Source organism: Homo sapiens, chromosome 17, assembly GCF_000001405.40.
Source record: "Homo sapiens chromosome 17, GRCh38.p14 Primary Assembly".
In the NCBI taxonomy this organism is placed as follows: domain Eukaryota; kingdom Metazoa; phylum Chordata; class Mammalia; order Primates; family Hominidae; genus Homo; species Homo sapiens.
In genome coordinates, this window is record NC_000017.11 from 10,441,875 (window position 1) to 10,469,763 (window position 27,889).

Sequence of the window (27,889 nt, forward strand, 5' to 3'; positions counted from 1 at the left end):
ATAAAGAATAAATTGGTATTCTCTTATTTTTGGAAGAAGCAAAATTTTAAACTAAGAAAATATCAAAGAAAAGAACACTATGGCAATGGCTATGATAAAATTTTGGAAATACTGTTTTTGAAATTAAGAATTAGATTTCCTTTATGGTTCCTCCTTAAAATATGCAAGATACTGAGAAAAGTCAGGCTCCTTTTCTGGAGCAAAAATGGACAGAACTTTTTGGATAAATCTTTCTGTTGACCTTCTAATTCTACATACCGTTAGATTTTTGGATAAATCTTTCTGTTGACCTTACAGTAAACAGAACTTCATCTTCATCATGGCCTAGGTGAAGTATTCCTCATAAGTAAGCAGAACTGTATGTAGAATTAGAAGGTCAACAGAAAGATTTATCTAAAAAGTTCTGTTTTTCTTGTAGAAGGAGAAAGTTCAGAGGAAAATAACTTCTTCCAAAAGGAAATGAAATCTGTAACCACAAAGTAACTGGGATGTTTGAATGCTGTGAAACTGTTTAACTTCTTCCATTCTTTCAAGCCCTTTTCTTTATACTGTGTTAGAACTGTGCTTTCCTTCTGCATTCTTGTTTATTTCCATCACCATCATCTCTAATTTTGACCATTTTAATAGCCTCCTAAACAGTCTTTGAAGGCTTTGATCTTTCCCACCTTACTCATTCCTCCATACTGCTGCCATAATTGTGTCAATTCTCCTCTTCAAGAAATTGGACCAATTTGATGTGTGTCCTTGTTCCTTAGCACTACATATGAGGACATACCCTTCACAATCAGGCCTTATCTTCCATATCTGGCCTCATCTGCTCCCCTTTGCTCATGAAGCCTGTGCTAAAACTATGCTGAAATCTCATGCTTGTTTTCTTTTCTTAGAATGATCATAATTTTTTTTCTCTTTCACCTGATAACTGTCTGGTCCTCTTTTAGGAATCAGCTCATAGTCTCCTTTGAGAAGCCTTTCTGGATTTCCAAAGTTAGCAGCTCACTCTATGTTATTGCCACATTTGTTTTTCACACTCATGTCAGAGTATGTATGTTGCACATACATACAGCGTATATCTTTTTGAACTGCCGTCTTCCACACTGGATTGAACTTCTCAAAGACAGGGATAACTGTCACATCTTTCGTGTCCATTTCTGTACCAGACATATAGTTGATACTCAGTAAAATTGGTTGAATGGAATTGAGAGTGCGTTTGTCACCTTCATGTCTTCTCAGAGCACCTTATTTCATTTACCTTCCATTAAAGTTGGGTTCACTGCCTACATTCATTTTTGTTATTATCTCTGATTGCACATATTAGGAACTCCACAAATGTTGAATAAAGGAATTAGTTCTAATAGCACTAAAGAGCTTATAATTAAGAGACAAATGTATTTTTAGATGCAAAATTATCTAAAGATTTTATTTCCTTGATATACAGGACAGTGACAAAGAACTTCACATTTCGTGCATTTCTTTGGTCACATTTTCTTTCATTAGAATGAATTACTCTTCACTTATGACTTTTGTGTGAACCTCCCGACTCTTCACTCTCAGCTTGTTGACTTGGGACTCAGCAATGTCAGCCCGTTCCTTGGCCTCCTCCAGCTCGTGCTGGAGCTTGCGGAACTTGGCAAGGTTGACATTGGATTGTTCCTCCTGAGAACAGAGATGCATTTGAGATAACAAGAAAATTGGACATTTCCTGATTGTTATTGCTTTTGTTACTTCAGGATTTGCCTCATGAATGAGAAAGAAAAAGGCTCCGTTGTCCAGGCATGGTGGCTCACACCTGTAATCCCAGCACTCTGGGAGACTGAGGCGGGTGGATCACCTGAGGTCAGGAATTCGAGACCAGCCTGGCCAACATGGTGAAACCCCCATCTTTACTAAAATTAGCCCAGCGTAGTGGTGGATGCCTGTAATTCCAGCTACTCAGGAGGCTGAGGCAGGAGAATCTCTTGGACCCAGGAGGCAGAGATTGCAGTGAGCTGAGATTGTGCCATTGCACTCCAGCCTGGGCAACAAGAGCAAAACTCTGCCTCGAAAAAAAAAAAAAGAAGAGAAAAAGGCTTTATTATTTAGTAACATAGTTATTTGAGAGCAAGGCATCCCACAAACTCGCCTATGTAAATGAATGTGCTTATGACCCTCCTCAAGTCTCTCTCTCACTTGACTCTCTTTCTGGCAAACTGAAGAGGCTGCAGTGATAACTGGAAGAACAAAGTAGCAGGGATCTGAATTCAATCTTGTTTCTAAAAAAGAAACTTTAAAAAATAGGTGCAGTAGTGGCATTTGGTGCCAAGAACCCTAAGGAAGGTTTCAGAATTAACAGAATGAAAAAGATAACTGCAGCCAAATTGAAAAAAAAAGTCCCAAGATGGATTTATCATGAAGTTAAATGAAGCTTAGAATTCATACTCTCATTTGCACAGGTCCATATGAGTGCTGGGGGTTGTAGAATGTTCTAGATAGGGAGGGAAGTGGATTGCAACTAAGAAACATTTGTATGTTAACATGTCTGGAAAATTGCTTAAAGAGGTCTCAGAAGAAATAAACTCAAATCTATAAGGCTCCAGTAATTTATGGTTCATTTTTCTCATTCTAAATATTCATGTTCATACCTAATTATGTATTCCCAATTTAAAGAAAACCCCCTAAATTCTATAAACTTTAGGCCCCAAAAAACCTGGATGTGCATCTGAACCTTTCATTTCCACTGTGGAGATACTCACAGCCTCTTCAGCTTGTCTCTTGTAAGCTTTGACTTTGGTTTGCAATTTGTCCACCAAGTCCTGCAGCCTGAGAATATTCTTGCGGTCCTCCTCAGTCTGAAAGAGGTGCAAGTAGATGGTGCCATTATTTTAAAACAACTCATGATTTTCTTGAAAACTATAGGCCTGGAAGATATGAAAACACTGGTCACCTGGTAAGTGAGTTCCTTCACTCTTCTCTCATGTTTGCGAAGACCCTTGACAGCCTCAACATTGTGCTTCTGTTCACTTTCCACCTCACTTTCAAGCTCTCTCACCTGGAAGGGAACAAAGACGTTTACCAGTTTGGCTGTAACTGGCCACAAGGAATTGAGTGAAGTTGTGGAGACCTACCCTGGCCTCCAGTTTCTGGATCTGCTTCTTCCCACCCTTCAGCGCCAGCTGCTCAGCCTCATCCAGACGGAGCTGCAGATCCTTCACGGTCTGCTCCATGTTCTTCTTCATCCGCTCCAGGTGGGCGCTGGTGTCCTGTTCCTTCTTCAGCTCCTCAGCCATCATGGCAGCCTAGTTAGCAAATAAATTTTGAAAATAATGAATTCTGATGATAGCAGGCAGCATGCATGTGTCAGTAAGACAAATGCTCATCTTGCTTACATCAGTGATGGCCTTCTTGGCCTTCTCCTCTGCATTGCGGGCTTCCTGGACGATGTCCTCCATCTCTCCCTGGATTTGGGAAATGTCTGTTTCCAGCTTCTTCTTGGTGTTGATCAGGCTGGTGTTCTGTTTCAAATTAATGAAAGAGAAGAGAAGCACATTTACTTATAACAACTCACATTGTCATTTTACCTAGTGTACACAGGCAAAAATTATTGATCATAAGAAATGTTTAGAATAAAAACCAAATTAGAAGATAATTCTAAGTTTATGCCTTTTCTCCTTTCTATATATAGCTCTTTAATCAAACTTCTAAATTTAATTTTTGATGTCAAACATATTCAACTATTACCATTGCCATTTGTAAGCATGAAACACAGCCCACAAAACTCAAAGTGCTGTACCATGGAGCACCACACCACAGCTCATTTAAAATGAATCAGTAATTTTTAGCTATTAACTCATGTTGGTTGACTCCATATTTATAAATGCATAAATAGTTGTCTTGTTGGCTGGGCGCAGTGGCTCATGCCTGTAATCCCAGCACTTTGGGAGGCCGAGGTGGGCAGATCACGGGGTCAGGAGATCGAGACCATCCTGGCTAACACGGTGAAACCCCGTCTCTACTAAAAATACAAAAAATTAGTCGAGTGTGGTGGTGGGCGCCTGTAGTCCCAGCTACTCGGGAGGCTGAGGCAGGAGAATGGCGTGAACATGGGAGTCGGAGCTTGCTGTGAGCCGAGATCGCACCACTGCACTCCAGCCTGGGTGACAGAGTGAGACCCCTTCTCAAAAAAAAAAAAAAAAAAAAAAAAATAGTAGTCTTGTTGGGATAAAAATGAGCCAAGAATCCCTTCTGTTTTTGGCAAGTTGATGGTGTTTGGAATAGTCAACTTCAGATACTGTTAATAAGAAAAATGTTGCATATTAATTTGATTTTAAAATTATATAAAGCATGCAATTTTAACACTTCTATAATAGTTATGTTTATATAGTGCAACTTTCTGAAGTATACAGTACTATATATTTATTGTAAAAGATAGTAGAACATACAAATTAGCAGACAAGAAACAAAAAATAATTACTGTGCTCTCACCAGAGATAAAGGATAAACTTTTATTTATCTTTCTGGATGTTTCCTATATGTTTATACGGGAAAAAAGATCACACAGCCTATATTATTTTTAAGTTGCTTTTTTAACTTACTATAATATAAACATCTTCCCATGGCAATAAATTCATACTACAGTGGTTACATATTAGCCATTGTGAGGATATACCACCATTTATTTAACAAATTCACTATATACAACAAATGCTAACTAGTATTAATAATGGCCTCCATGAATTTGAACTAAAGAGCTTCTCTTTGTATCCCATGAGGTTAGCATTCTGTGCATATGTGATACGTAAATATTATTTAGTGGCTTTTTGTTTTTCTCCTCTATTTTATTTGCCTATCTTTTTGTAGCTTAGAGTTGCATAAGACAAGACAGCTACAAATGTTGTGTGTATGTTTATTTGTAGATGGTCTTCTGTGCTTTTTAAATAAAAGTTTCTAGAATTCCAGATTATTTCAACTCAACATGATTATGCCAGCCCATAAATATACTCGTGAACCAGCTAGGTCCCAGTAAATCCTTACAGCACCCTGTACATTTTCCAGAGCTCCAGGAAGGGACGAAGATTACTTTTTACTTTATAAACAAGCTTATCTTCTCAAATTATCTTCAGCTTCAGGGAGTACATTTTCTAAACCATAGTCTTGAACCTCACCTGAGTGTGCAGAAGTTGCACACGTTCACTGGCATCCAGAAGCTCTTGCTCTGCCATTTTCCTGCCTCTCTCAGTCCGTTCCAGGGATGCCCTGAGCTCTTCAACTTCAGCCTGCATCAGGTTAGCTCTGCGCTCAACCATTGCCAGTTGTTCCTTAAGGTCATCTTGGCCTCTGATGGCATCATCCAAATGTAGCTGAGTGTCCTACACAGAAAGAGAAAAAGCCTCTTACTCATGCTGCACTTAAAGCAAATGCAAACTTATGGTCATGTACACTCTTTGATCTTAATGACTTAGAGTATGATTAGATAGGAGCAATCGGCAAGTACCTTTAATAATAAATTCTTTGTAGCTGAGGGTTGCAGTTCTACTCAAAAGAACATGATGTTTTATTATTTTAGACCCTGAATCATTAAAAAATACCATGGCTAGCTCTACAAAATTTTGGATCAGGAAAGTATCCTTAGACTTCAGCGAGTCCAGTGGTGCTATTTTACATATTAAGCAAATGAAGTCCAGATTAATGAAGTGATTTAAGCAGTGGCATGTAGCCAAACTCTTTCATCACTTCCTCTATCTCCCTACCCCTCACCACAGTGCTTCTCTGCAGATAACAAAGCAAACTCTGTCCTGGGCCTTCCAGAATTAAGCTCTTTTTCAGTTGTGTGTGTATAACTTTGAACTTTGAACTGATTACCATGTTGCTTAGGTGATTTATGACACATAGTCCTCGTAAAACATTAAAATTTGAGTTACACAGTAGCACTGAGACTGTACAACACTATGTGTATTTACCCCAGCATACCTTCAGTATTCCTTGTGTGTTTCTAAGATTCCTTAGTGCCTCAGCAGCCTGGCGGTTGGCATGGTTCAGCTGGATTTCCATTTCATTAAGATCTCCCTCCATCTTCTTCTTGATCCTCAGAGCATCATTTCTGCTCCTGATCTCAGCATCCAGTGTACTCTGCATTGACTCCACAACTCTGAGATGGTTCCTCTTTAGCTGATCGAGTTCTTCATCTTTTTCAGCAATTTTTCGGTCAATCTCAGATTTCACCTGATTTAGCTCAAGTTGAATGCGAAGAATTTTGCCTTCTTCATGCTCAAGAGATGCCTTAATAAAAGCAACATTTATTTAGGTTACCTAAAGAGCTTTTTATTTCTTTCACATTATGATAATTTCCCCAAGAAGGCATTAAAAAACCCATAAACTATCATACGTCTTAATGTAGCCTATTAGCTCTGCATTCTCAAGGTACAATTCAGTATTTTTCACTGAATTACTTGTGTTATTCCCTAAAGATTTGCAACATGATAGAGATCTCAGTTGCTATTAATTTTCAATTTATTTATAATGCAGAGCTAAGCAAATGAAAAATGTACCTCTGCTTCCTCTAGGGAAGTCTGTAGTTCACTCTTCTCATGATCAAGTTGTTTCTTTACTTTCTCCAGTTCATGGATATGCTTTCCACCCTCTGCAATTTGCTCTGTCAGGTCAGAAATCTCCTCTGTAATAATAAAGTACCAAATTTCAGTTAAGTAGAAAGAAAAATTGAAAAGATGTCTCCCTACCATTTTTGAAATAGAATGATTACAGTGACTCACGTTGTAAGTTCTTATTCTCTCGCTTTAGAGTTTCAAGATGATCCAGGGATTCCTCGTAGGCATTCTTCACCTTGAACAGCTCAGTGCTGAGAGAACGCGACTCCTTCTGGGAGGCCTCAAGTTCAGCCTGAGTTTCCTCATACTTCTGTTTCCATTCTGCCAGAACCTGGAAGTATATAGAAAATAAGCCTTTGAAACCAAGAATGATGTCAGTTTCCCCCAAGGGGAGCTGGTACTGTGGACCACCTTGTCAAAGTTTCTTTGCTTCTTATCGAGAGCTATGCAGGCAGCATTAGATCGTTCCACATCAATCATGAGGTCCTCTACTTCATTCTGTAGCCTCTGCTTTGTCTTTTCAAGAGAAGCACATTTGGAATTCACAGCTTCTACATGTTCTTCTGCATCCTGCAGACGCTGGGCTAGCTTCTTCCTGAAAATTGGGTCAGTATGAGTGACCAAGAGCAGACTCAGAGTCACCACAGTGCCCTTTATAAAGCTGCTGACTAGGAAAGCATATTTCCCCAAGAGTTGTCTACAAGTTGTTGAATTTTTCTAAACATTTTCACTCTCTTAGAATTCTGTTTTCCCTGTTGAGTTCTTATTTTTATCCATCTCAGGTATTGCCAAACATATTTACGAAGCACCTGTGTGTGTGTATGTGTGTGTATGAGAGAAAGAGAATATAAGTTAGCACTAGAGCTGAGTGAGCAATGTGAAAATTTGCTCCTCTTTCTTTGTTTTTATTTCACTAAGCTGGCCCTCTATAGTGTGGCACATTTTCTTGAACTTTGCCTGGGGTGAGAAGTAGAAAACAGGAAGAGACAGTACATTTCTCTTTTGAAACCTGGGATTTAGAGATCTGTAACTACTTGTGGAAAAGGGCTGAGTTTTATTTACTTTGAGGAAGAAATGGCAACCATGAACAGGAAGCATATCACCAAGGAATGGTAGCATTGAGTAGTATCTTTAAGCATTTTCTAGTATGGTTCTGTTTATTTTGCAAATGAGGAAACTGCGGCCCAGAGTGATATGTTCAAGGTCATACAATGAATCAGTAACTTTCTGGATTTGGTGGCCTTTGATAATAAATATTACTGCATTATTGCATTTCCCAAATTTCCTCTAAAATCTTGTCTACTACTCTTCACCAACCTATGTAATTCATGACCTTTCCCAGCCCACACTCTTATCTAGAACTCTCTCTGGAAATGCTTGCTACAAACTCTTTCATCCTGTTTAATTCTAACAACTACTGAGATAAATTAAATTTAGAAAGGCTTCTTTCACTAGGAGTATAATGCTTTTTTTCCTTCTATGTGTAAATCTGTAAATCTCATGACTTGTAGTCCGCAAACAGTACGTGTAATTAGTGAATACATCCATTGATATAGGTTGTTAGTTGAAATAATGACAGCATATGACAACCTTAATATAAACATTCAATACTCCATCTGAGGAAAAACTGATTATTGTTAATTGTAATACTCATAATAATTTACCAGAGAGTCTCAATGTCTCAATTTTTCCTTCTATTAAAAGATACTAATTCTATTTAATTCATAAATAATATTCTGATAATTAATAATCCATCTTGGTGGAAAGAAATTTAAGATGCTTCTGGACAAGAATGGGTGGAGGGATCTGGTCTCATTCCATTCTCCAGTGGACATACACTGGGCTTTAAGAAGAAGAATATGGTGGAATCCACCAACCTATAATAAAATAAGCTGAAGTCTTTCATGTGTCCCCAAGCCCGGAATATTCTCTTTCTTCTATTTTTCCTTCACTGCCTTTACTTTTATTTCTTCCTGCTCCCCTGCACTAAAAGCACATACTTGGCCTCCTCCAGCTCCTCTGTGCGCTGGATGGCGTCCGTCTCGTACTTGGTCCTCCACTGGGCAACCTCACTGTTGGCCTTGGACATTCCCCTCTGCAGCTCAGCCTTGGCTTCCTGCTCCTCCTCATACTGTTCCCGCAGCAGGTCACAGTCATGGCGGGCTGACTGCAGGGCATGGGCCAGAGTGCTCTTGGCCTAGACCAACCAAAAACTATGTGATATAAGTTTATCTTCTGATCATTGAAATTCTCTATGCAAAGTTCAATAGTGTGTTATGTTGCACGGTTCAAGTGATTGAAAGTATCAGCTGGAGAATTCTCACCTTAGTCTCCTCTTCTAGCTGCCTCTTTAATTCTTCAATCTGTTGTGTAAATGCTTGTTTGCCTCGGGATAGCTGAGAAACCATAGCATCTTTTTCATCTAGCTGTCGTGAAAACTCACCTGTGGAAGACAAAACATCAATGATTTAGTTCTGTTGTCTAGGTAAACAATAATTTAAAGAATGGAATAACATTGTAACCCTCTTATTTCATATGATGAAAAAACCCCTCAAGATTTTCAGTGATGTTGAGAAGGTTATTTCTTGCTTTTTAAAAAATGTATGAGTTTTCTTTGATATTTTAGAATTCGAGAACTTTTGAGTAATGCTGAGTCACAAAAAATCTCCTGAGCCCAGGGAGCTTAATTCTTTTCCCCAATTGTCGCTTAGAATCATTGCATTTTACTGTCTCATAATAAAAAGATGGAGGAATAAGTAAGACATGATAAATGAATGTACAGAGCTTGAGAAATTACTTGTATTTGATAGGTAGGTAAAGGCTTGTCTTTCATTCGTCACCTCTCCGAAGGTTGATGCTATTTATTTACTGACCTGATTCTGTGTGTAAACGTGCCTTCTGGGCTGACAACTCATTTATTAAGCGTTGTTGCTCTTCTTCCTTTGTTTTTATTTCACTAAGCTGGTCCTCTAGGGTGCGGCACATTTTCTCAAAGTTTGCCTGGGGTGAGAGGTAGAAAACAGGAAGAGACAATACATTTTTATTCTAGAGGCTGGGATTTAGAGATCTGTAACTACCTGTGGAAAGGGGCTGATTTTTATTTACTTTTCTATCAATCTTGCATGGTGGCTATAAAGTAGTAGAGGCATTTAATTTGGCTAAATAATGAACACATGATTATCAAAATTATATTCTCTTTGAAAGTGTGAACATCATTTAAATTCTGCATCATTTAGAGTATGGTTTTTAGATAAACCTTTTTTGTAATTACATTTTTTTTCATGGTAATAGTATCAAAGGTTAAAGTGTTTTCTACAAAGAAGTTAAGAGAACTTAAGTGATTCAATACAATAATGTGTACTAGGAGTAAGTTTAAGCTTCAGATGCCATCTAATGTTTGTGTAATTTGGCTAAAAATAGTCATATATAAACTTGGTCATTTTGAATTGTTGCAAATAAAGATGAAAAGGGCACAAGTTAATGAAGACCTTGGCTTTGGAGACAGTCTCCATGTTACTAGCAAGGTCATTGATCTCCATCTTCAGCTCACTCTTTTCCTTCTCCAGCTTCTGCTTGACCCGCTGAAGGCTGTCAATCTGCTCCCCAAGCTCAGCCACACTATCTGCGTGCTTCTTCCGAAGAGCAGCTGCCGTGGCTTCGTGCTGCAGGGTGGACTCTTCCAGGTCCCTGCGCATTTTCTGGAACTCAGCCTCCCGCTTCTTGTTCATCTCAATCTGGGCTGAAGTGGCCCCACCGGCTTCTTCCAGCCTCTCACTGATCTCCTCCAGCTCCCGGGAGAGGTCAGAGCGCTGCTTCTCTGCTTTGGCCCGGGAGGCCCGCTCTGCCTCGATTTCCTCCTCCAGCTCCTCAATGCGGGCCTGGTTGTGATATGTCAACATTAATGTGAATTTATGTCAGTTTTGTTTCCTGTAATGCCCAGAAAAGGTGGAGGTTATAACTTACCTGTAATTCTTTGATCTTCTTTTGTAGCTGTATTGCAAGGGCTTGTTCATCTTCAATCTTGCCTTGCAGATTGCTCATTTCAAACTCTTTCCTATTAGAAGAGCAACACATTAGCTTATAATCACTTCTCTTACCAATCTTCTTTTCTATGTATAATCTAAGACTTTTTTTATACTGCTGGTGTTGAAGGAGTGAGTAGTACAATGTTTTACAGATTAATAATTGTATTAGTTTAATTAAATAAAAAGGTCAAAGATGTCATTATTTTTTTCCATATGTCATGATGTAACATTTTGGAGATCTTTTTAGCGTATGTTTCATTTGCATTGACATACAACAAGCAGGTTATAGCTGAATTATACCATACTTACTTTTTGAGTTTCTCATTAAGTTGCTGTTTGTCATTTTCTGTATCCATTGTGGATTCTTGGGCCAATTTTAGGTCACCCTCCAGTTTTCTCTTGGCTCTTTCTAAGTCCATGCAAAGTTTCTTTTCTTGTTCCAGAGATCCTTCAAGCTAAATTTATGATGCATTTTATTTATTTCAGCTCTTAAGCACTGAACCCTATGCTAGTAGCCTTCAAAGATACATAAGAAAAAAATTTAAAGATACAACAAATAGCACAAGAACTTTATTCACAGACCAAGCGTTAAAGGCTTATGACTATCAGTGCTGGTTTCATGTCACAATTGTTTATTTCATTGCAAGGGGAAACATTTTCTTTTTCACACTTACATCGTCCACTTGCTGTTCTAGCTTGGTTTTAGCTTTGGTCAGGGTGTTGACTTTGTCCTCCTCCATCTGCAGGTCATCCAGGGTCTGCTGGTGGGCCTCCTGGAGAGCCTTCTTCTCCTTGGTCAGCTTAGCAATGGTTTCATCCAGACCTGCCATCTCTTCTGTGAGGTTTTTCACCTTTAGATTAGAACAGATGACCAGAATGTCAATGACAACGTATTATCTTGATGAAAAACATGATGCTGTAGTATCTTAGGATAATGTCAGCGTAAGATGGAAAATGAGAACCAGGAGCTAACCCAGGCCTATAATGGCTGAAAAAATAGGAGGTAAAGGTCAAGTAAGTACATTGAGGTGGTGAAGACTAAAGAGATGAAATAGTTATGACAGTGGTATTTTTTATATTCAATCATCTTAAGATTAAATTTTTAATTAAAATACTTCAGTATCAAGGTGCTTATAAATATTCTAAAATGGATCATGATTTGTACCTTGTTCTCTGTGGCATGTTTCTCCTTCTCAACCTTGGCCAGTGTCAGCTCAAGGTCATCAATGTCTTTCTTGAGCTCTGAACATTCATCCTCCAGTTTCCTCTTCTTGGCTGTCAGCTCAGCATTGATCTCTTCCTCATCCTCAGCTCTTTCAGTTACCTCTTTGATTTTGGCCTCAAGTTGGATTTTGGTTTTAATCAACTGATCACATCTTTCCTCTGCATCAGCCAAGGCATCTGCTTCCTAAAGGGAGAAATTAAGCATTTTCATTTGTCTGAGCTATATCTATAAGCACACAATAATTTATTATAAGGTGGAAATTTCAGTGACTACCTGTTTGGTCAACATGTATACCAGTTGCTAACTTTTAAAATGAAACAGACAAAATGTTAATACTGTTATCTACTGATCAAGTATAATAACAAATTTCCTTCAGATATTCATGTGTGGCAGGCCAAATCAGGAAAACTAGCCCTTTGGCAAAAATCTGCCACTTTACTAACCTTTGCAACTTTGGAAAAATCGCTTGTTCATTGTAGGACTCAGTTTTCTCACATTTAAGAGGGGATTAACTTAGCCATTTCTCTGCCCTGATAAAAACAACATAACTTCTATTTTATGCACAAAAATACACTAAAGAAAGAATAATCTGATCTGAGAGAAAGTTCCATAAATAAAGGAAAATGTCTATTGATATTTTTATGAATTTGCTCACTGATGACCAAACTGTGTGTGAATGCACATATGAACGTGTGCAGCATGATATGTGACTTTGCATCTATTGCTTCTTTATGCCCGAGTCTTGGTGTTTTTGAACAGCAAACAATCAGAACAAATGTTTCAGTGGAAACCATTCATTTTAAAACGTTAAAAGTAATAAGATGTGGCTGAACTGCAATGTATAATACTTACAGCTTGAACTTGGAGTTGTAAGTCATTTTTCTCTTGCATTAGCGTCACCATCTTTTCTTCTAGTTCTTTCCTTTTTGCCTCTGTCTTAGCCAGCTCTTCTTTGGTTTTCTCAAATTCTTCCTTCATGTTGGCCATCTCCTTCTCTGTCTCTGCACTCTTGAGGAGGGGCTTGATCTTGAAATACAGCTTCATCCAGGGCCAGTGCTTCACATTCATGAAAGCACGGATGTTGTACTGAATGCAGAAGATGGACTCTCTGTAGGAAAAGAAAAAAAGATGCAAATGGAGAATAATGTGGAAAGTGATCATCACTCAACAAAAGTAATGACTGCAGTGGATTCATTTATGAAAGTGTGGAGCAGGAAGACTTGTGTGTGGGCTCTCACCTCCTCTCCATCATCTTTCTGAACTCCACTCTCATCAGGAACCCTCTGCATATGGCTTGAGTGCGCGTGATGAGTTGAGCTAGCTTTTCATCTCGCATTTCCTCTAGAGTTCCCAGCAGGCCAGCTTTGAAGAAAACCTTATGAAAGAACAAGTTAAATATGTTATTTCCACTTACAGGAAAGTCTAAAAGTGATAGAATTATGACAGATAGAAATTTGGACTGGTGATACCTTGGTATGACCGAATTTGTACTGGGTGTGGTCAATTTCAATAGACCCTAGAAGTTTCTCAGAAGCCTTCTTGCTGTCAATGAACTGACCCTCTGGGATAGCACTCGCATTTAGAACCTTGTATCTGTCAGAATAAAAAGAATATAAAAATGTGGTTTTTCTTCACTGAAAAAAACAGTAGAACATTTGGTAGCTATCATTGAAAAGATGATAGATTAAGTTTTGGTGAACAAAATGCCATTTAAAAAGTCAGTGCTTTATTTAAAACTTCGGAAGATATGATGAAAAACTTATGATAATATAAACCTAAGCTTCTTTCTTTTATGATCAATTTTCAAATAATTGCATGTCATTTTTCAAGGAAAAGTTTAAAAATGTTGGAATTATATAGTGATTTTGTGTAGACTAAGACATTGGAAGGGAAAAATAATGAGACACAAACCTCTGTTTGAAGTCTGCATAAAGGATTCTGCTTGGGAAGCCTTTCCTGCAGATGCGGATGCCTTCCAGCACACCGTTACACCTCAGCTGATGCAGGACAAGCTCATGCTCCATGGCACCTAAGAGAATGAATCCACATGCCATACTTCGTGGTCTATCGCACACACACTGGAGCTTGTCTGGATATCAGAAATGTCTTACCAGGAGTTTTAGTTTCATTGGGGATGATGCACCGCACAAAGTGGGGGTGAGTGCTCCTCAAGTTGGTCATCAGCTTATTCAAATTCTCCTGTGGAACCATATGAAAAGTTTTAAAATCATTTCTAGTTGCATCGACATGAGAGTCCCTATCAATATTTGTCTTTCATTTCACATTTTAATGAGCTGTCTCAAGGAAAAACAAATTATCATAACAGAGAGGAATCATATAAGTGGAGCACAGGTAGGAAATTACAGATTACACAAAATCAGTTAATTTCAGTTTGTTATTCTCAAGCACCACCAGTCAGAGAAACTTTGTATTGCGATTTTTGTCACATGAAGGAGATGTAATTGAATACAGTGGTTATTTTTAAAAGAGCATTTGATTTCATGTGAAATTTGTACAATACCAGATCTCTTGGATGTAGGGCTCAGGGGCAATGGTTCACGTATCATAAAGATTGATGTGAAGAGATATGTAGTTTGTTTTTTTGTGCTAATTTTTTTTCCTAAGCCATTTAAAAAGTTTACAAAACCTTTAGTAGTATACTAAAAAGTATACTGTACTACTTTATTCACTTTCACCATAAATATCTTTTAAAAAATTTTCTGTTTTGATGGTTTAGTTTTTTAATGAAAGTATTTATCTGTAATTCAAGAATATACTGTACCCTGAAAAGAGCTGACACTGTCTGGAAAGAAGAACCCTTCTTTTTGCCACCTTTCTTTCCACCACCACCCTCTAAAAAACAAAATGGGAAAAATAAAGTTATTTGCAACTGCCTTTTAAGTACTATCCATAAACATCAGGACTGCCAAAATTCCCTTTAGAATTTAAATTTGCACTCATTCACTTGCATCATTCCTATTCTTTCCATATCTCTCCTCCCTCAATTGTAGATTAAGAAAGTCTAAGATTTGGCTGACTTTATAGTCATTCATGAAAAAACCAACAACAAAAGAATTGTGAGTGTAAGGGGTAGATGTGGGTAGGGGATGGGACTCCCCTACTCCAAGTCAGCAATGTCTGTTCTCTGAAGGAAGGGCCAAGGAGACAGAGTAGTAATGCCTTGTTAGTGCAGGCCTCACTTGGACAACAGGCAGAGTTGCACACTTGGTCCCAGGTAGGTGAGCCTCTGCTCACCTGCAGGGAAATCCTGGCTCCCATTTGCCTGTGCTTCCATGGTGTTACTTGCACATCTGGTCTTAGAACACTTAAGAGAACAGAACTTCAGTTCCCCAAGCACTAGGGCCCTGACAAAGGATTTCCTTATCTCCAGCCTAGCTGGAGAACCTTGAAAGAACCAATACTATTAAAATGATAGAAATGAGTTTTATGATCCTGAGCAAATCACTTAACCTCTCTGAGATTCTTGTTTTCTCATGAGTGAAATCAGGCTGTGGGCTAAATGCTCCATAGTGTCACTTAGCTCTGAAAGTCTGTGACTGTAAGACTGTATCACAGTTATTAAATACACTTTCTTTCATTAGGCATGTATTGGCCAGTGTTTTTGTGTCAGGTTTTGCTGTAACTACATTTGTCTCTGTTGAACAGTGTATATCTATTTTGTGACTCTTGTAACATATTAGTGCTATTAAACATGACCTGCTTCAGCAGTTTGTGCCCCAGAGAAGAGGAAAGCCAGAGTCTTCATTGCAGACTTCTGGTACAGCCCCACCACAGTCTCATTCAGGGGGTCCTTGTTTTTGTCCAGCCAGCCGGCGATGTTGTAGTCCACGGTGCCGGCATAGTGCACCAGTGAGAAGTGAGCCTCAGGCTTGCCTTTGGCAGGCTTGGGCTTCTGGAAGTTGTTGGATTTTCCAAGATGTTGTTCATACAGCTTGTTCTTGAAGGAGGTGTCTGTTGCCTTGGGGAACATGCACTCCTCTTCTAGGATGGAGAAGATGCCCATAGGCTAAGAATAGGAAAAAAGGGATGATAATGATGAGTCCCTCAGAAAGTTATGCTCCATGTAATTGATGGAAAACTGAAAATACAATGTTTCAAAAGAAGACTTTGAATGATAAATTAAATAGGCATGACATGTGAAGCAGTCATTATGTACCCAGAACATATGGGAAATATACTTGCTAGAAAGACTCAGTTAAAAAAAATACATCTGAACTATTTGGCACACTTTATGTTCAGTGTATAAAATCAGATTCTGAAAACATCACTTCAAAATTGAATTCTTTATTCCATAAATGTATATATCTGACTACTTTCTTTCCTACTGACAATATAACTTCCTTTACCTCGAATCTAGAGGTGACAGAAGTATGAAGGGAAGAGAGATTATGTGTAAGGACTAAAAATGATCCATTCCTAGGAGGAAATTGCATCTTATATTGTATCATTAAAATTCTGTACTTTAACCTATATTCTCTACCACTGTGGAGTTAAGTGATAGTAATTTGGTTTTGCTTTCTAAGAGTTTGGCTTTTTTCTTAATGTATTTGATAGGAAAGACTGAAAGAAAATTCAACATTGATGATTTAACAAATTCACAAATTGTACCCCTAAGACTATTTTGGTGATACAGAAACTGAAATACTAGAGAATAAAATAAATGCCTTTTCTGAAGACCATAAAGTTTTCATGAATAGTAGAGATATTATATCACCAGATTAACGTATCTTTTCCCCAAATTGTGCAGACCTAGTCTGCTTTTAAACTCTTATCTTTCATATTTTTGTGAATTTTAACCTGAGTATTTTAAGTTTTCCTAGGTGGCAATTGCATTTACGCTTCCTTTCCCACTGCTTAGGGTAGGGTTCACACATACACTTTATTGATATCAATAAGTATATGACAAGCTCCCAAGATACTTTTGGAAGTGTTTAACGATTGCTTGATGAGTGTTAACATATCTAGATCTGATGTAACTATTGCTTCACCCCCTTAGTAATGGGGAATTCAGGGCCCATTTTCTAGGTAAGTGATACAGAGGTTTGGTGTTTATTCAGTAGTTATCATGAACGGGGAAAGACTTAATGACTGCAACAGTTGAAGGACTAACCTTCCAATCTTTAAGACGTGTTGACATAGCCTGCCTTGTTACACATGAGGGATGATGATAAATGCACAATACACTGTCATGGGTACACCAGGGTTAATTACACAACCCAGAGGAATAGCTGTAATTTCATCCCTTTCTCCCATATGCATGAAATAGTGTAGGAAGAAAAGTGAGGGAGAATTAAGTTTTTAGAGGGATAAATGCGAATCCATATGTGTGTGAGTGATAAACATTTTTCTACAAACTGCTCTACTTATTAATAACAGATCACTTGGAACATACCTCACAACCAATCAGAATATACGAGTGTGTCAGGAAACAGCACTGCTTGTTCTTTGAGAACAGGGAGTGTGATTAAGCACAGGGAGGCAAGCAATTTGGTTTTCATGTTTTGAAAGCTAGAAAAGTCATATGAACCTTCTCGATGAGCTCGATGCAGGCAGCCAGGTCCATCCCGAAGTCAATGAACTCCCACTCGATGCCTTCCTTCTTGTACTCTTCCTGCTCCAGCACGAACATGTGGTGGTTGAAAAACTGTTGCAGTTTCTCGTTGGTGAAGTTGATGCACAGCTGCTCCAGGCTGTTGAACTACAGAACAAGATAAATATAGGAAATTACGCATAACAAGTATTCTATCTACAGAGTATCTATTAGTATTTTCTTCTGAATTTAAGGCATTTTGGTTTATTAAATTATAAACCTTCAGATTGTTTTCCTATTATATAGTTCTAAACAAAGTAGAATTGATTCTTTGAATACTTATTTTCCAAGTAACTGCATGAGATCATGCATACTAGGCAAAATACTGTTAAATGAGGACTCTGAAATATTTCCTTAGAGTAATTTTAAAAAGGTGTTCTCATGCTCATCTGCTTGGATCCAGGATAGATTTTGACTATTTTAACCTCTCAGGGATCAACTTTTGAGACTTCTAGACTCAAAAGAATAGAATTTTCTCTTTTCCTATTTATACCTATTTACTTTTCATATCTTTTCAAAGACTCCTTTCAGTAGGAATTACATTTGTATATTTTGTAAGGTACATTTTGTAAATGTGATTTTGTATGCTCTAACAAGAGGATTTGCACTGGCTAATTTTCTGTCAGTTCACTACTCACATCAAAGATCTCAAAGCCAGCAATGTCCAAGACCCCGATGAAGTACTGCCTGGGCTGCTTGGTGTCCAGCTGCTGGTTGATGCGGGTGACCATCCACAGGAACATCTTCTCGTAGATGGCTTTGGCCAGAGCACCCACTGCATTGTACACCTTCAACAGAAGTGATAGTTTAGTTTTTTAAATTGAAAACAGTGATGAACTCCTGAGTCACTTGCGGTTCAAATAAATCAGACAATTTAAGTCATGTTTACCTGCTGCACAGTCTGGCCTTTGGTTACGAACTCATTGCCGACCTTGACTCTGGGATAGCAGAGAGATTTGAGCAGGTCAGCAGAGTTCAGACTTGTCAGATAAGCAGCTTTGTCAGCAACTGTGTGAACAAGGTGAGAATGGTGAAACTGACCATGGCTTACACAATTTAAAATGTAAATGATGATGACAAAGAAAAAAGGTTTCACTCAAAAAGTAAGATGTGCAAATGTCATTGAAACCTTTTCATTTGTTCATATTGCCTCAAAAGCATTGCCACCACTTGCACTAATTTTAGTCATTTCTTGTGATGATAAATTGGAGGTTGGGGAATCGATGCTGTCTGTGATATTTAACCTGGCAAAAGTAGACCACAGATAAAAATAATTTGAGAAACCCTAACCTAGAGGAGTAGTGACAGAAATATTCAGATCTCTGTTTCTTTCAGTGCCTGTGGGCACACAGATTATCCTGAAATAAAATATGTTTTAGTCAAATAGCAAATATGAGCTTATGAAAAGCCAATGAATAATGGAATGAGCAGAAATCACAAATCTGCTAAATAATGTAAAACGTCAGGCAGTGTGTAATTTCCTTCTCGTAATACTTTTGCCCTTCACGAGCTAGGTCAGAGAAAGTAAAAACACGGTCCCTGCCTCTGAAAAGTTCACTATGTCAGCTTTGTCAAGTGGAAGATACCAACAGGGGGTGGTACCTTCCGTGCCATCTGGCTCTGCCTGCTCTTCCCTTTGCTTTTGCTTGAATTTCATGTTCCCATAATGCATCACGGCTCCAGTGAGCTTGTAAATGGCCACCTTTTCATCAGCAGTGAAACCCAGGATGTCCACAGCACTCTGTCAAAAGAGTTGAATTTGCTCATCCCCAATTAGCACCATGGAAGAATCCCTCAGAACACCGGGGCTGTCTCCCACTTTTTTCTCATCACGCCTTGCCTTATATTTGACTAGCACTTTGCCATCTTCAAAAGGTACTCATATGCTTTACCTTTTGATCCACATGGCAACACGAAGAGGTATGCATCAGTCTTTCCATTTGAGTCATGAGTCCATTTGGTCACAGCATATGATGTGACTTGTCCACACTCACTGAACCAGGACTAAGAGCCATGACTTTTGATGCCAAGGCCAGTGCTTTGCCCCTTTTCTCCACCCCAGCCCCCCTTTGCTTCTCAGGCACATGCTCCTCTTGGTCTTTTGGCTATTTTTGTTTCTTTTCTCCAGTCTCACGAGTCTCTCTGTTGCTCCTTCTTCTCCTATTTGTCCTATCCTAATGCATAATCCCAGTCTACCTTCCCCTGCTAATGGGCATGAGTGATAAAGTTGGAAAGAGGGTATGAGGAGAACAGCAATGGTTGTGAGTCTTTCTCCACATGCCTCTCTGATAGCAAGCCACAGCTCAGCGACCACGAGATGCCTGGGGTAGCAAACTTTACCTAGTTATTTATTTCTCATGCAGAGAAGAGACATTTATGAAAAGAAGGAATTTTGCCATTTAGTATAATATTTCTGTGTCTTTTTTCTCTATCGAATTTTGATTACCTTTTTAGTTGCCCACATAGGCTTTGAAAAGGCTTATAAATGGGGGCAGGATTCAGAGCAGGCAGAGGAAAATATGTTTATTTACCATTCTTACCTAAGACTCTTTCCCCAGATTATTGACTTCCACTTCCAGCTCACTAACTCTACCTATTTACAGAAACTAGACATTATTACGGAAGTCTTAGAGCAAGACTGCTACATTTTTTTAACCTCGCAGACCAGGGTGTGTTTCTTAACTCCCTATCACTTTTGGACATACAAAGATAATAATAAGTTATAGAGAGTTAAAGCTGATATTTATAATATAAAGCCACACAAATGAATTATTGACTTCTTGAAAATAATATTTTAATAGAAAAAGCAGTTTTGCAAGCACTGTCAACTCTAACTTGGGGGTATTGGGATAGTCCCACTGATATTAAAGTTAAAAATAAGGAAGATTATTCAGAAATCAAAAGAAAGCATGAAATATACATAAAGTTTACATATAAAGAAAGTAAGCCAAAAAGCAATAATCCTTAAAAAAGAGGTGATGGTGGGGAGAGAGTGCGTTGTTTCAAAAATAAATATAAAGGCTTATGGAGTCCCCAAAATGAGTGTTTTTGAAGTAGACAACCCACTTCTTCTAATGCTGCTTAGGGAGTAGAGAGGGATATATCATTGGCCCACAGAGGTTTATTCAAAATAAGGCTTATGTTTACATGTGACTGTAGAAGAACAGTGGGAGTTCCATGTTTAGTTGTAATAATATTGCAGCTCCTTCCCAGAATCTTGGGTGTGAGGTGTGGCATAAAATAGCAGAGAAACATTAATATTGGAGCATAAATATCAACCAAAAATGACTAATAAGAAAGATAGAATGAAAGGAGCCTACTAGCTAAGGAATACTAAAGACCCAACATTTATTACAGGCAGTGAAAGCTTTTTAACACATGTAGGGGGAGGGTATTGAAATATCCTACAATTTTTTTCCAAAAGTAAGAAAGCCCAAAGGGTTGTATTACCTATTTATAGTCTTTCTGCCACTGCTTTCCACCCTAATAGAGGAGAGTGTTGTACACTGGAAAATGAATTTACTTTTTACTACTTTGTACCTATTACTTACATCTGTGGCCATCAGCTCTTCCTGGTCATCAATGCTGGGCACAGTAATTTCCCCTTGGCTGACAAATGCGAAGTCATATGGGTTGGTGGTGATCAGAAGCATTTCTGAACACATGGAAAAGAACAGTATATAGACAGCATTGCTTTGGTCATCAAAAACATTTCAGAGAGGCTTCTTAGAAGGGCTGTTATTCTTTGGTAGAAATAAATCAAAGATGTGTCTTACCAATGAGCTCTGGTTTCTTATTGGACAGGATTTGATAAAATATGTGGTAGCTTCTTTCAGCCTTTAGCTGAAAAGTAACTCGGGACTTCTCTAGCAGATCTGGAAGTCAGATTAAGCTCATTTAAAAGAAGATGCCACAGTGAAAAATTAAGTGTTTGAAAATTTCACACAACAGAAATAAGTACAAGATTTTCTAATATGTACCCACAAAGAAAAAGATTCTCAATCACTAATATTTATTAACTTACATGTTTCAATATCTGCAGAAGCCAGTTTGCCTGTGGCACCAAAATGGATCCTGATGAATTTACCCTTAAAAAAGAAAAGGAGGGATTATTATACACATTAAAATCAGAAACTATTTCTTTAGCTGTGGACCAAACAGGTGGAAAAAATATTGACACCACATGCACACAAGAATCAGTGCTGATCCTCAAGAAAATGAAGATCAAGAGACTTACAAAGCGAGAGGAGTTGTCATTCCTCACGGTCTTGGCATTGCCGAAGGCTTCCAGTAGGGGGTTAGCACTGATGATTTGATCTTCAAGGGTCCCCTTAAGAGAAATGAATAAGACAGACAAAGAAAAAAGTTGCAGTAAATAATTTCCCATTGACCTCTTTCCCTTCCCCATTGCCCCTGCACAGTATTCTGTAACTTTGGGAAAGGCTTTCTAAAATGAGTTAAAAAGAAGGTAAATCGGGAAGGGGAGTGGGACACTCCAGTGATGTGGTCTTGATTTCTGCATCCCCCAGGCCCAGAAAAGCACCTAAAAAATGATTGTGAGAATTTTTGCCTATTATACTTGCCAATACATTGCCCTATTCATCTCATTCTCATGAGCTCTTCCAAGAGTTATTTTCCAAATTCTGGCATCACTTGCAATTGGCTGCTATGATTTTGAAGCACCACAGTCAGTTAAAAAAATTAACCTTTATTTTGGATTCAGGGGATACATGTGCAAGTTTGTACATGGGTATATTGCATGATACTGAGATTTAGGGTATGGATGATCCTGTCATCCAGGTAATGAGCATAGATAGTACCCAATAGGTAGTTTTTTGGCTCTTGCCTCCCTCCTACCCTTCCCCATCTAGTAGTCTCCAGTGTCTATTCTTCCCATCTTTATGCCCATTCATGCTCAATGTCTAGCTCTCACTTATAAGAGAACATGCTGTATTTGGTTTTCTGTTCCTGCATTAATTCTCTTAGGACAATGGCCTCCTCATGTTGCTGCAAAAAATATGATTTTGATCTTTTTTAAGGCTGCATAGTATTCCATGGTGTATACGTACTACATTTTCTGTATACAGTCTACTGTTGATGTGCACGTGGTTAGATTTTAAAATCTGTTATTCTGTCCTTAGATGAATATCATGCCCACCTGCATTTTGCCAGAGGCAGGTTCCTCTTTTTTCTTCTCTCCAGTAACTGCAATTGTTGCAAAGTACTGGATGACACGCTTCGTGTTCACAGTCTTCCCTGCACCAGATTCTCCACTATCAAGTTCAAACAGAAGAAAAGGTCAGAATCTAAGGTAGTAGTAGCCACTACAATGATCAAAACAGAAAGAAAGTAACGAAATCTACATACGTAATCAAGATTGACTGGTTTTCACGATCTGTAAAAGAGAAGCCAAAGATAATATTTAGAAAAACACACTTAACACATAGGTCAACGCAGTACTTATAAACTCAAAATTGTCTTTTAAAACTCCCCATTTGCAAAAATAACTATATGAATTTGTGCTTTGCTTCTCATAAGGTTTTTCTAAAAATAAGTATCAAAGATGTGCTAATTAATAATCCCATTACCTTTCTAATGTATAGACTATGTAATGCATCATTTTACCATTTTGTCCATGAGAATAATCTATCAATATCAGATTAATAACAATTTTGTGTCCCATCCAGTCACCTGGTTCATAGTACAAAATTATGTCAATGTCCAATTTAAAGTTTTGTACTGTGCTTGTGATAACTTGTCACTGTGAGTCTTCAAAACTTACTTTTTAGGAGAGATTATGTATTATCTATAATCCAAATGCAGAGTTGATGCCTAAATTTAATTAATTTTGAGGTGGAACTAGCATTAGTTAATTTGGATTTTAGCATAGAAATCTAAGCAAAATTTCCTCTATTTTTGGAACTAGTGCTTAGCATAGAAATCTAAGCAAAACTTCTTCTATGTTTGGAACTAGTACATTTTATTCTAAATATATTTCCCTAATTTTATTATTTCTGTTATCATGTTTGTGCTGAACAGTTATTCTCAGAATACTAGCCCTATGTTTTTTCTGATATCAGTATACAACTATTTTACAAATGGCTATGGAAATTGTAATTCTCACTCACCAGTTAGCATGAACTGATAGGCATTGTCAGAGATGGAGAAGATATGGGGTGGGGCCTCCTGGCGCTTTTTGCCTCGGTAGGCTGTCACCACCTCAGGGTTGTACACCGGCAGCCACTTGTAGGGGTTGACGGTGACACAGAAGAGGCCCGAGTAGGTCTGTGGGAAAGGACGGGGTTCCTCGATCAGCAATCACCTTGTTTATCTATCTTGGAAATACTGTTTAAGGGCAAGTAGAGCAGGACCTAAGTACTGTGTTAGTTCTCATAAAGTTTCATTCATTTGTTGCCTCCTTCCATCATTGCTGCTGCACAAAATGCTTCAGTTTTTCTTTTTTTTTTTTTTTTTTTTTTGAGACGGAGTCTCGCTCTGTCGCCCAGGCTGGAGTGCAGTGGCGGGATCTCGGCTCACTGCAAGCTCCGCCTCCCGGGTTCACGCCATTCTCCTGCCTCAGCCTCCCAAGTAGCTGGGACTACAGGTGCCCGCCACTACGCCCGGCTAATTTTTTGTATTTTTAGTAGAGACGGGGTTTCACCGTTTTAGCCGGGATGGTCTCGATCTCCTGACCTCGTGATCCGCCCGCCTCGGCCTCCCAAAGTGCTGGGATTACAGGCGTGAGCCACCGCGCCCGGCCCAGTTTTTCAACTAATTCAGTTAAGTAAATGGTTTTCCACATGTACATTTTAAAACATATCAGAGTTTACAACATTAACCAAACAATTGGTCATAAAAGAACAGTTCAATAGCCAAATGTATTGAAACCCCTTAATTTATTTTAGCTAACATGTGTAGAATGTGGAGTGAGTGAGAAATAGCGTTGAAAGGGTGCTCACGTAGATCATCCAGGCTGCGTAACGCTCTTTGAGGTTATACAGCACAGCAGGCTCATGCAGGTGAGTCATCATGGCCATGTCCTCGATCTTGTCATATTTGGGAGGGTTCATGGAGAAGACTTGGTCTTCTTTCACAGTTACAGTCTGTTAAGAAAAGAAAAAACAAGTGCATATCAAATAAGTAGCAGAAAAAGCCAGGTCAAAAAAATATCACCTAAATTAACCCAAAATGAGGCAGAGTCTAATTAGCTCCAGGTGTTTTTACTCACAGCTCCAGCTTCGGTCTTGGCTGTCACCTTCCCCCCTTCCCTGCTCTGCACTATTGCTTTCACGTAGGACTCCTTAGGGTCCACCACAAAGACTGATGTCTTGGCATCAAAAGGCTTGTTCTGAGCTTCAATTCGCTCCTTTTCAGACTTTCGGAGGAAAGGAGCAGCCTCCCCAAAAATGGCCATCTCAGAGTCAGAACTCATGGCTGCAGGTTATTGATGGCAGTACTGGACTAGGTATACCTAGAGGAAGAAACAGAGCCAAATGATGATTCAGGGTTGGGGTGGAGAATTGTTCTGTTGATTTCATATTAATGTGCTTAATTTTCCATGCTTGTTTCCTCACCCCTGCCTTTAGGGACCACTCCTGTATACTATGTCAAGGAGCTGAGAGATCAGCTCATTGATTTGAAAGCACTATGTTGATAGCTTAATTTTTGTGATACTTTAAGCCTAAGTTCCATCCTCTATGTTGTAAACCTTAGTTGAGAAATGTGGAGGAATCAACATTCAATCAGCAACATTTGTGATGCTCCAAGCATGTTCAGAATTTTTTCTTTTTCTTGCTACTTTTCTTTTCTTTCTTATTTCCAACTTCCCCCTCTTAACATCGTGATGATACAAAGAAATGGACAATAACTGTTTCCACTGGCTTTACAATATAAATGAACCTGTCTTAAAAACTCAAATACAGATCTTTATGCAAATTTTCCTCTCATCCCAAATTATTAAAATTGGATGTCAGATTTACTAAAATTGAATGTAGACAGATACACCTGTTCTTTCCGGACATAAGTCCAGATCTAATCATTACAAATAAACACCTAGTTAACTGACAGGTATTAGGTAAGTAAAGGAAAAAATAACTACAATGAAAGCTGAATATCCAACATATAATTTTGCCCTAAGTTAAAATTAAAATCTCCTTTATTAGTTTTGAAATTGTTTGAAAGTCAGAAGTAGTATCTAAACCAAAAACAACTTTAAAAGATTCTTGGAGAAAAGGAACTTCTTAATTTTTAATAAAATTTTATAGTGATTGTATGTGTTGATCTGTATTTCTCTTTGTTTTTAGTTGGATTTCAACCTAACATATTTTAAAATCTGATTCTTATTTTCTTAGGTTTATAATCTCGTTCTTTCTTCTCCTCTTTTTAAAAATACCAACCAGTCTTCTAAATATTTTTCTGAAATGGATAGCCAGTATAAAGTTTCAAGCCAAAATGAACTTAAAAAATTTTCCCTACTGACAAATTAATTATGAGAAAATAAAATAAGTCCTGCTGTCCTGATGGCAAGGACAGGGTGAGTGGCCAGAATAAAAGAAGGTGACCTCTGTGGAGCAGAAGTGTCTTGGTTGCCAATGACAATGACAGCAATGATGGCGACAACAGCAATAGCCACCACCTTCTGTAGGCTTTCCAGAGTCTTGATCTTTTGTCATCAGCATTAACTTTCCCTCAACTTAAAATGTTAGCTATGGAATTTCCACATACTCTATTTTCAAAATCAGTCTTATCTGTAAAAGTGTCCTGATGACACTGTGAAACTTAGACATATTTTCAGGGGATATATATTGGAACATTTAATGTCAGGTTTTTTTTCTTTGAAGAAGAAATGTTATTTATATTACATTATATTTTGTTTCTGTGTTTGTTTTTACACCAGGCAACTTGAATTAACAACACACTACCACGTGGAGGTTACTATAATGCAGTGTATCCAGGAAACACAGAAAGATGATTGCTACCCTTCCCATCTCCTGTCTTATTATAGATTAATTGTTTCCCAACTTGGGGATCAAGCCCCAATAGAGCCTCAGGTTGTTGCAGGGGGTTCTTGAATCCACCCACACAGTGATCATTGCCTCAAGTTTAAGGAAGGAACATTTCCACATGAACAGTGTTTTCTGTTCTTTTCTAAATGAATATAGCTGCTATGTTAAATATAAACTCATTTAAAATAATTCTTAAGTGTAGAATAGGTTTTCATGATTATATATATCCTTAACATCATACTAAAAGTACATGTCTCCACATGAACAATTAGCAGGATTCCATTAGTTTTGATTCTCCATTAGCAGGGTTCCATTAAATGTTTTGATTCTGTGGAGGAGTCCTTGAAAACCACTGACGTCAATCACAGTTGGCAAGAGCTGGAAGGACCTTAGCAGTCAATAGAATCCAGCCTCCTCGTTTACTGATGAGGAAACTAAGGCCTAGAAAGGTTCAGGGTCATTCAGTGTCATAGTGGTGGGTGATAAGTGGCGGTACTGGGACATGAGTCCTGTTCCGCTAAATGCAGGTTTGTTAATTCCACTTGCAACACACTGTATTTCAAGATACATAAAGGCTAACTGGCTTGACCCAGGCAAATAGAATCAGTGAAAAGCCTGGATTGGCACCTAGAAATATCGACTTCCAGATAAACACACCTTGATTTTATCATGCGGTCTCTCTGATATATCTTTATGGGTTAAGTTGGAGTAGTAGTTCACATTAAATATTACATATGATGGCTGCATTCTTTCTGTAGTTCTAACAACATGTGAAAGAGAAGTTTCATTAAGTTTTGTTTGATTAAGTGGCCTGAAAAGTCAAAATTTTATGAGAAGGCATTTTTAAAGAACAGCTGCCCCGATATCCTATTCCCAATACTAAACTAGGAAATAAAATGGTAGCTCATTAAGATGTAGCAATATAGAGATTCCTTTGTTCTTTAGAGTGTAATAATAAATTATTCTTACCTCTTGTATTATCAGATGAAGAAGGTGGCAGGCTCAAAGCAGACAACTACTGTTGAAAGAAAAAAGAGAATGTGGGATGCTTTTTTTTCCCCATTTAATCACAAAATACTAGTAACTATATTGTCTACAATGTCGTCCTTAAGAATGTTGGAAAGAATAATTAAAATTTGGGAAGCAGTAGACATCCCTTAAATGAAAAATCATCATCATCAGGAATGTAAAAGTAAGTGTTCTTCCACATATACATACCTTCAAGAATTTTGAGGAAGGATGGGAAAGAGGCATCTCAGCTCCACTTTTATAGAGACCATTCTGCAAACACAGCAGCCACCTCAGCTGTCCTAGCTGGGAACCTACTTGGCAAAACCGTTTTTGGCAATCTCTTTGCACAATATTCACTGACTGTGGCTGTGAATGGATATAATTAGAAATATTTCTTGACACCCATAAATAATTTAACAGAGGATGATCTAGGG

The 27,889-nt window shown here is 38.3% G+C and overlaps 1 protein-coding gene and 1 long non-coding RNA gene across 3 annotated transcripts in view, besides 2 other annotated features; one reads left to right on the forward strand and one right to left on the reverse strand.

Moving 5' to 3' along the window:
• Nucleotides 1-27,889, forward strand: part of MYHAS (myosin heavy chain gene cluster antisense RNA) — a 242,409-nt gene that overhangs the window by 58,743 nt on the left and 155,777 nt on the right. The gene's annotated exons all lie outside the window — the stretch shown is intronic.
• Nucleotides 1,389-27,685, reverse strand: MYH4 (myosin heavy chain 4). Of its 2 annotated transcripts, NM_017533.2 has the most exons (40): nucleotides 27,663-27,685; nucleotides 27,414-27,462; nucleotides 24,668-24,910; nucleotides 24,399-24,542; nucleotides 23,568-23,724; nucleotides 22,807-22,834; nucleotides 22,598-22,712; nucleotides 21,677-21,769; nucleotides 21,464-21,527; nucleotides 21,216-21,314; nucleotides 20,991-21,094; nucleotides 19,042-19,180; nucleotides 18,329-18,447; nucleotides 18,078-18,227; nucleotides 17,377-17,547; nucleotides 15,546-15,855; nucleotides 14,611-14,681; nucleotides 13,940-14,027; nucleotides 13,740-13,857; nucleotides 13,298-13,421; nucleotides 13,067-13,203; nucleotides 12,681-12,936; nucleotides 11,769-12,011; nucleotides 11,278-11,454; nucleotides 10,913-11,058; nucleotides 10,542-10,632; nucleotides 10,067-10,456; nucleotides 9,452-9,578; nucleotides 8,903-9,021; nucleotides 8,579-8,775; nucleotides 6,990-7,173; nucleotides 6,744-6,909; nucleotides 6,522-6,646; nucleotides 5,944-6,252; nucleotides 5,139-5,342; nucleotides 3,363-3,488; nucleotides 3,102-3,272; nucleotides 2,921-3,025; nucleotides 2,730-2,825; nucleotides 1,416-1,653 (listed from the first exon to the last, which is right to left on the reverse strand). In NM_017533.2, exons 3-40 carry the CDS (start codon nucleotides 24,869-24,871, stop codon nucleotides 1,501-1,503), a joined length of 5,820 nt encoding a protein of 1,939 aa, NP_060003.2. In that variant the 5' UTR covers nucleotides 24,872-24,910; nucleotides 27,414-27,462; nucleotides 27,663-27,685; the 3' UTR covers nucleotides 1,416-1,500. The 2 variants fall into 2 exon arrangements, with proteins under 2 accessions (XP_016880165.1, NP_060003.2); XM_017024676.2 differs by lacking the exons at nucleotides 27,414-27,462; nucleotides 27,663-27,685 and having other exon boundaries at nucleotides 1,389-1,653; nucleotides 24,668-25,069.
• Nucleotides 4,965-6,164: an enhancer, noted in NCBI's record as "CDK7 strongly-dependent group 2 enhancer chr17:10350156-10351355 (GRCh37/hg19 assembly coordinates)". NCBI's record gives its function as "activates an origin of replication core promoter dependent on BRD2, BRD4, P300/CBP, MED14 and CDK7 cofactors, with strong dependence on CDK7, by STARR-seq in HCT116 cells {active_cell/tissue: HCT116}" and the evidence as "EXISTENCE:reporter gene assay evidence [ECO:0000049][PMID:35650434]".
• Nucleotides 8,659-9,858: an enhancer, noted in NCBI's record as "CDK7 strongly-dependent group 2 enhancer chr17:10353850-10355049 (GRCh37/hg19 assembly coordinates)". NCBI's record gives its function as "activates an origin of replication core promoter dependent on BRD2, BRD4, P300/CBP, MED14 and CDK7 cofactors, with strong dependence on CDK7, by STARR-seq in HCT116 cells {active_cell/tissue: HCT116}" and the evidence as "EXISTENCE:reporter gene assay evidence [ECO:0000049][PMID:35650434]".

Coding starts and splice junctions, on each gene's coding strand:
- MYH4 (XM_017024676.2), bottom strand. CDS start 24,871: ATGAGTTCTGACTCTGAGATGGCCATTTTTGGGGAGGCTGCTCCTTTC. Junction 17,548..18,077: donor CTGGCTTTGAGATCTTTGAT/GTGAGTAGTGAA, acceptor CTTGTTCTGTAG/TTCAACAGCCTGGAGCAGCT. Junction 11,455..11,768: donor AACATGCCACAGAGAACAAG/GTACAAATCATG, acceptor TCTAATCTAAAG/GTGAAAAACCTCACAGAAGA.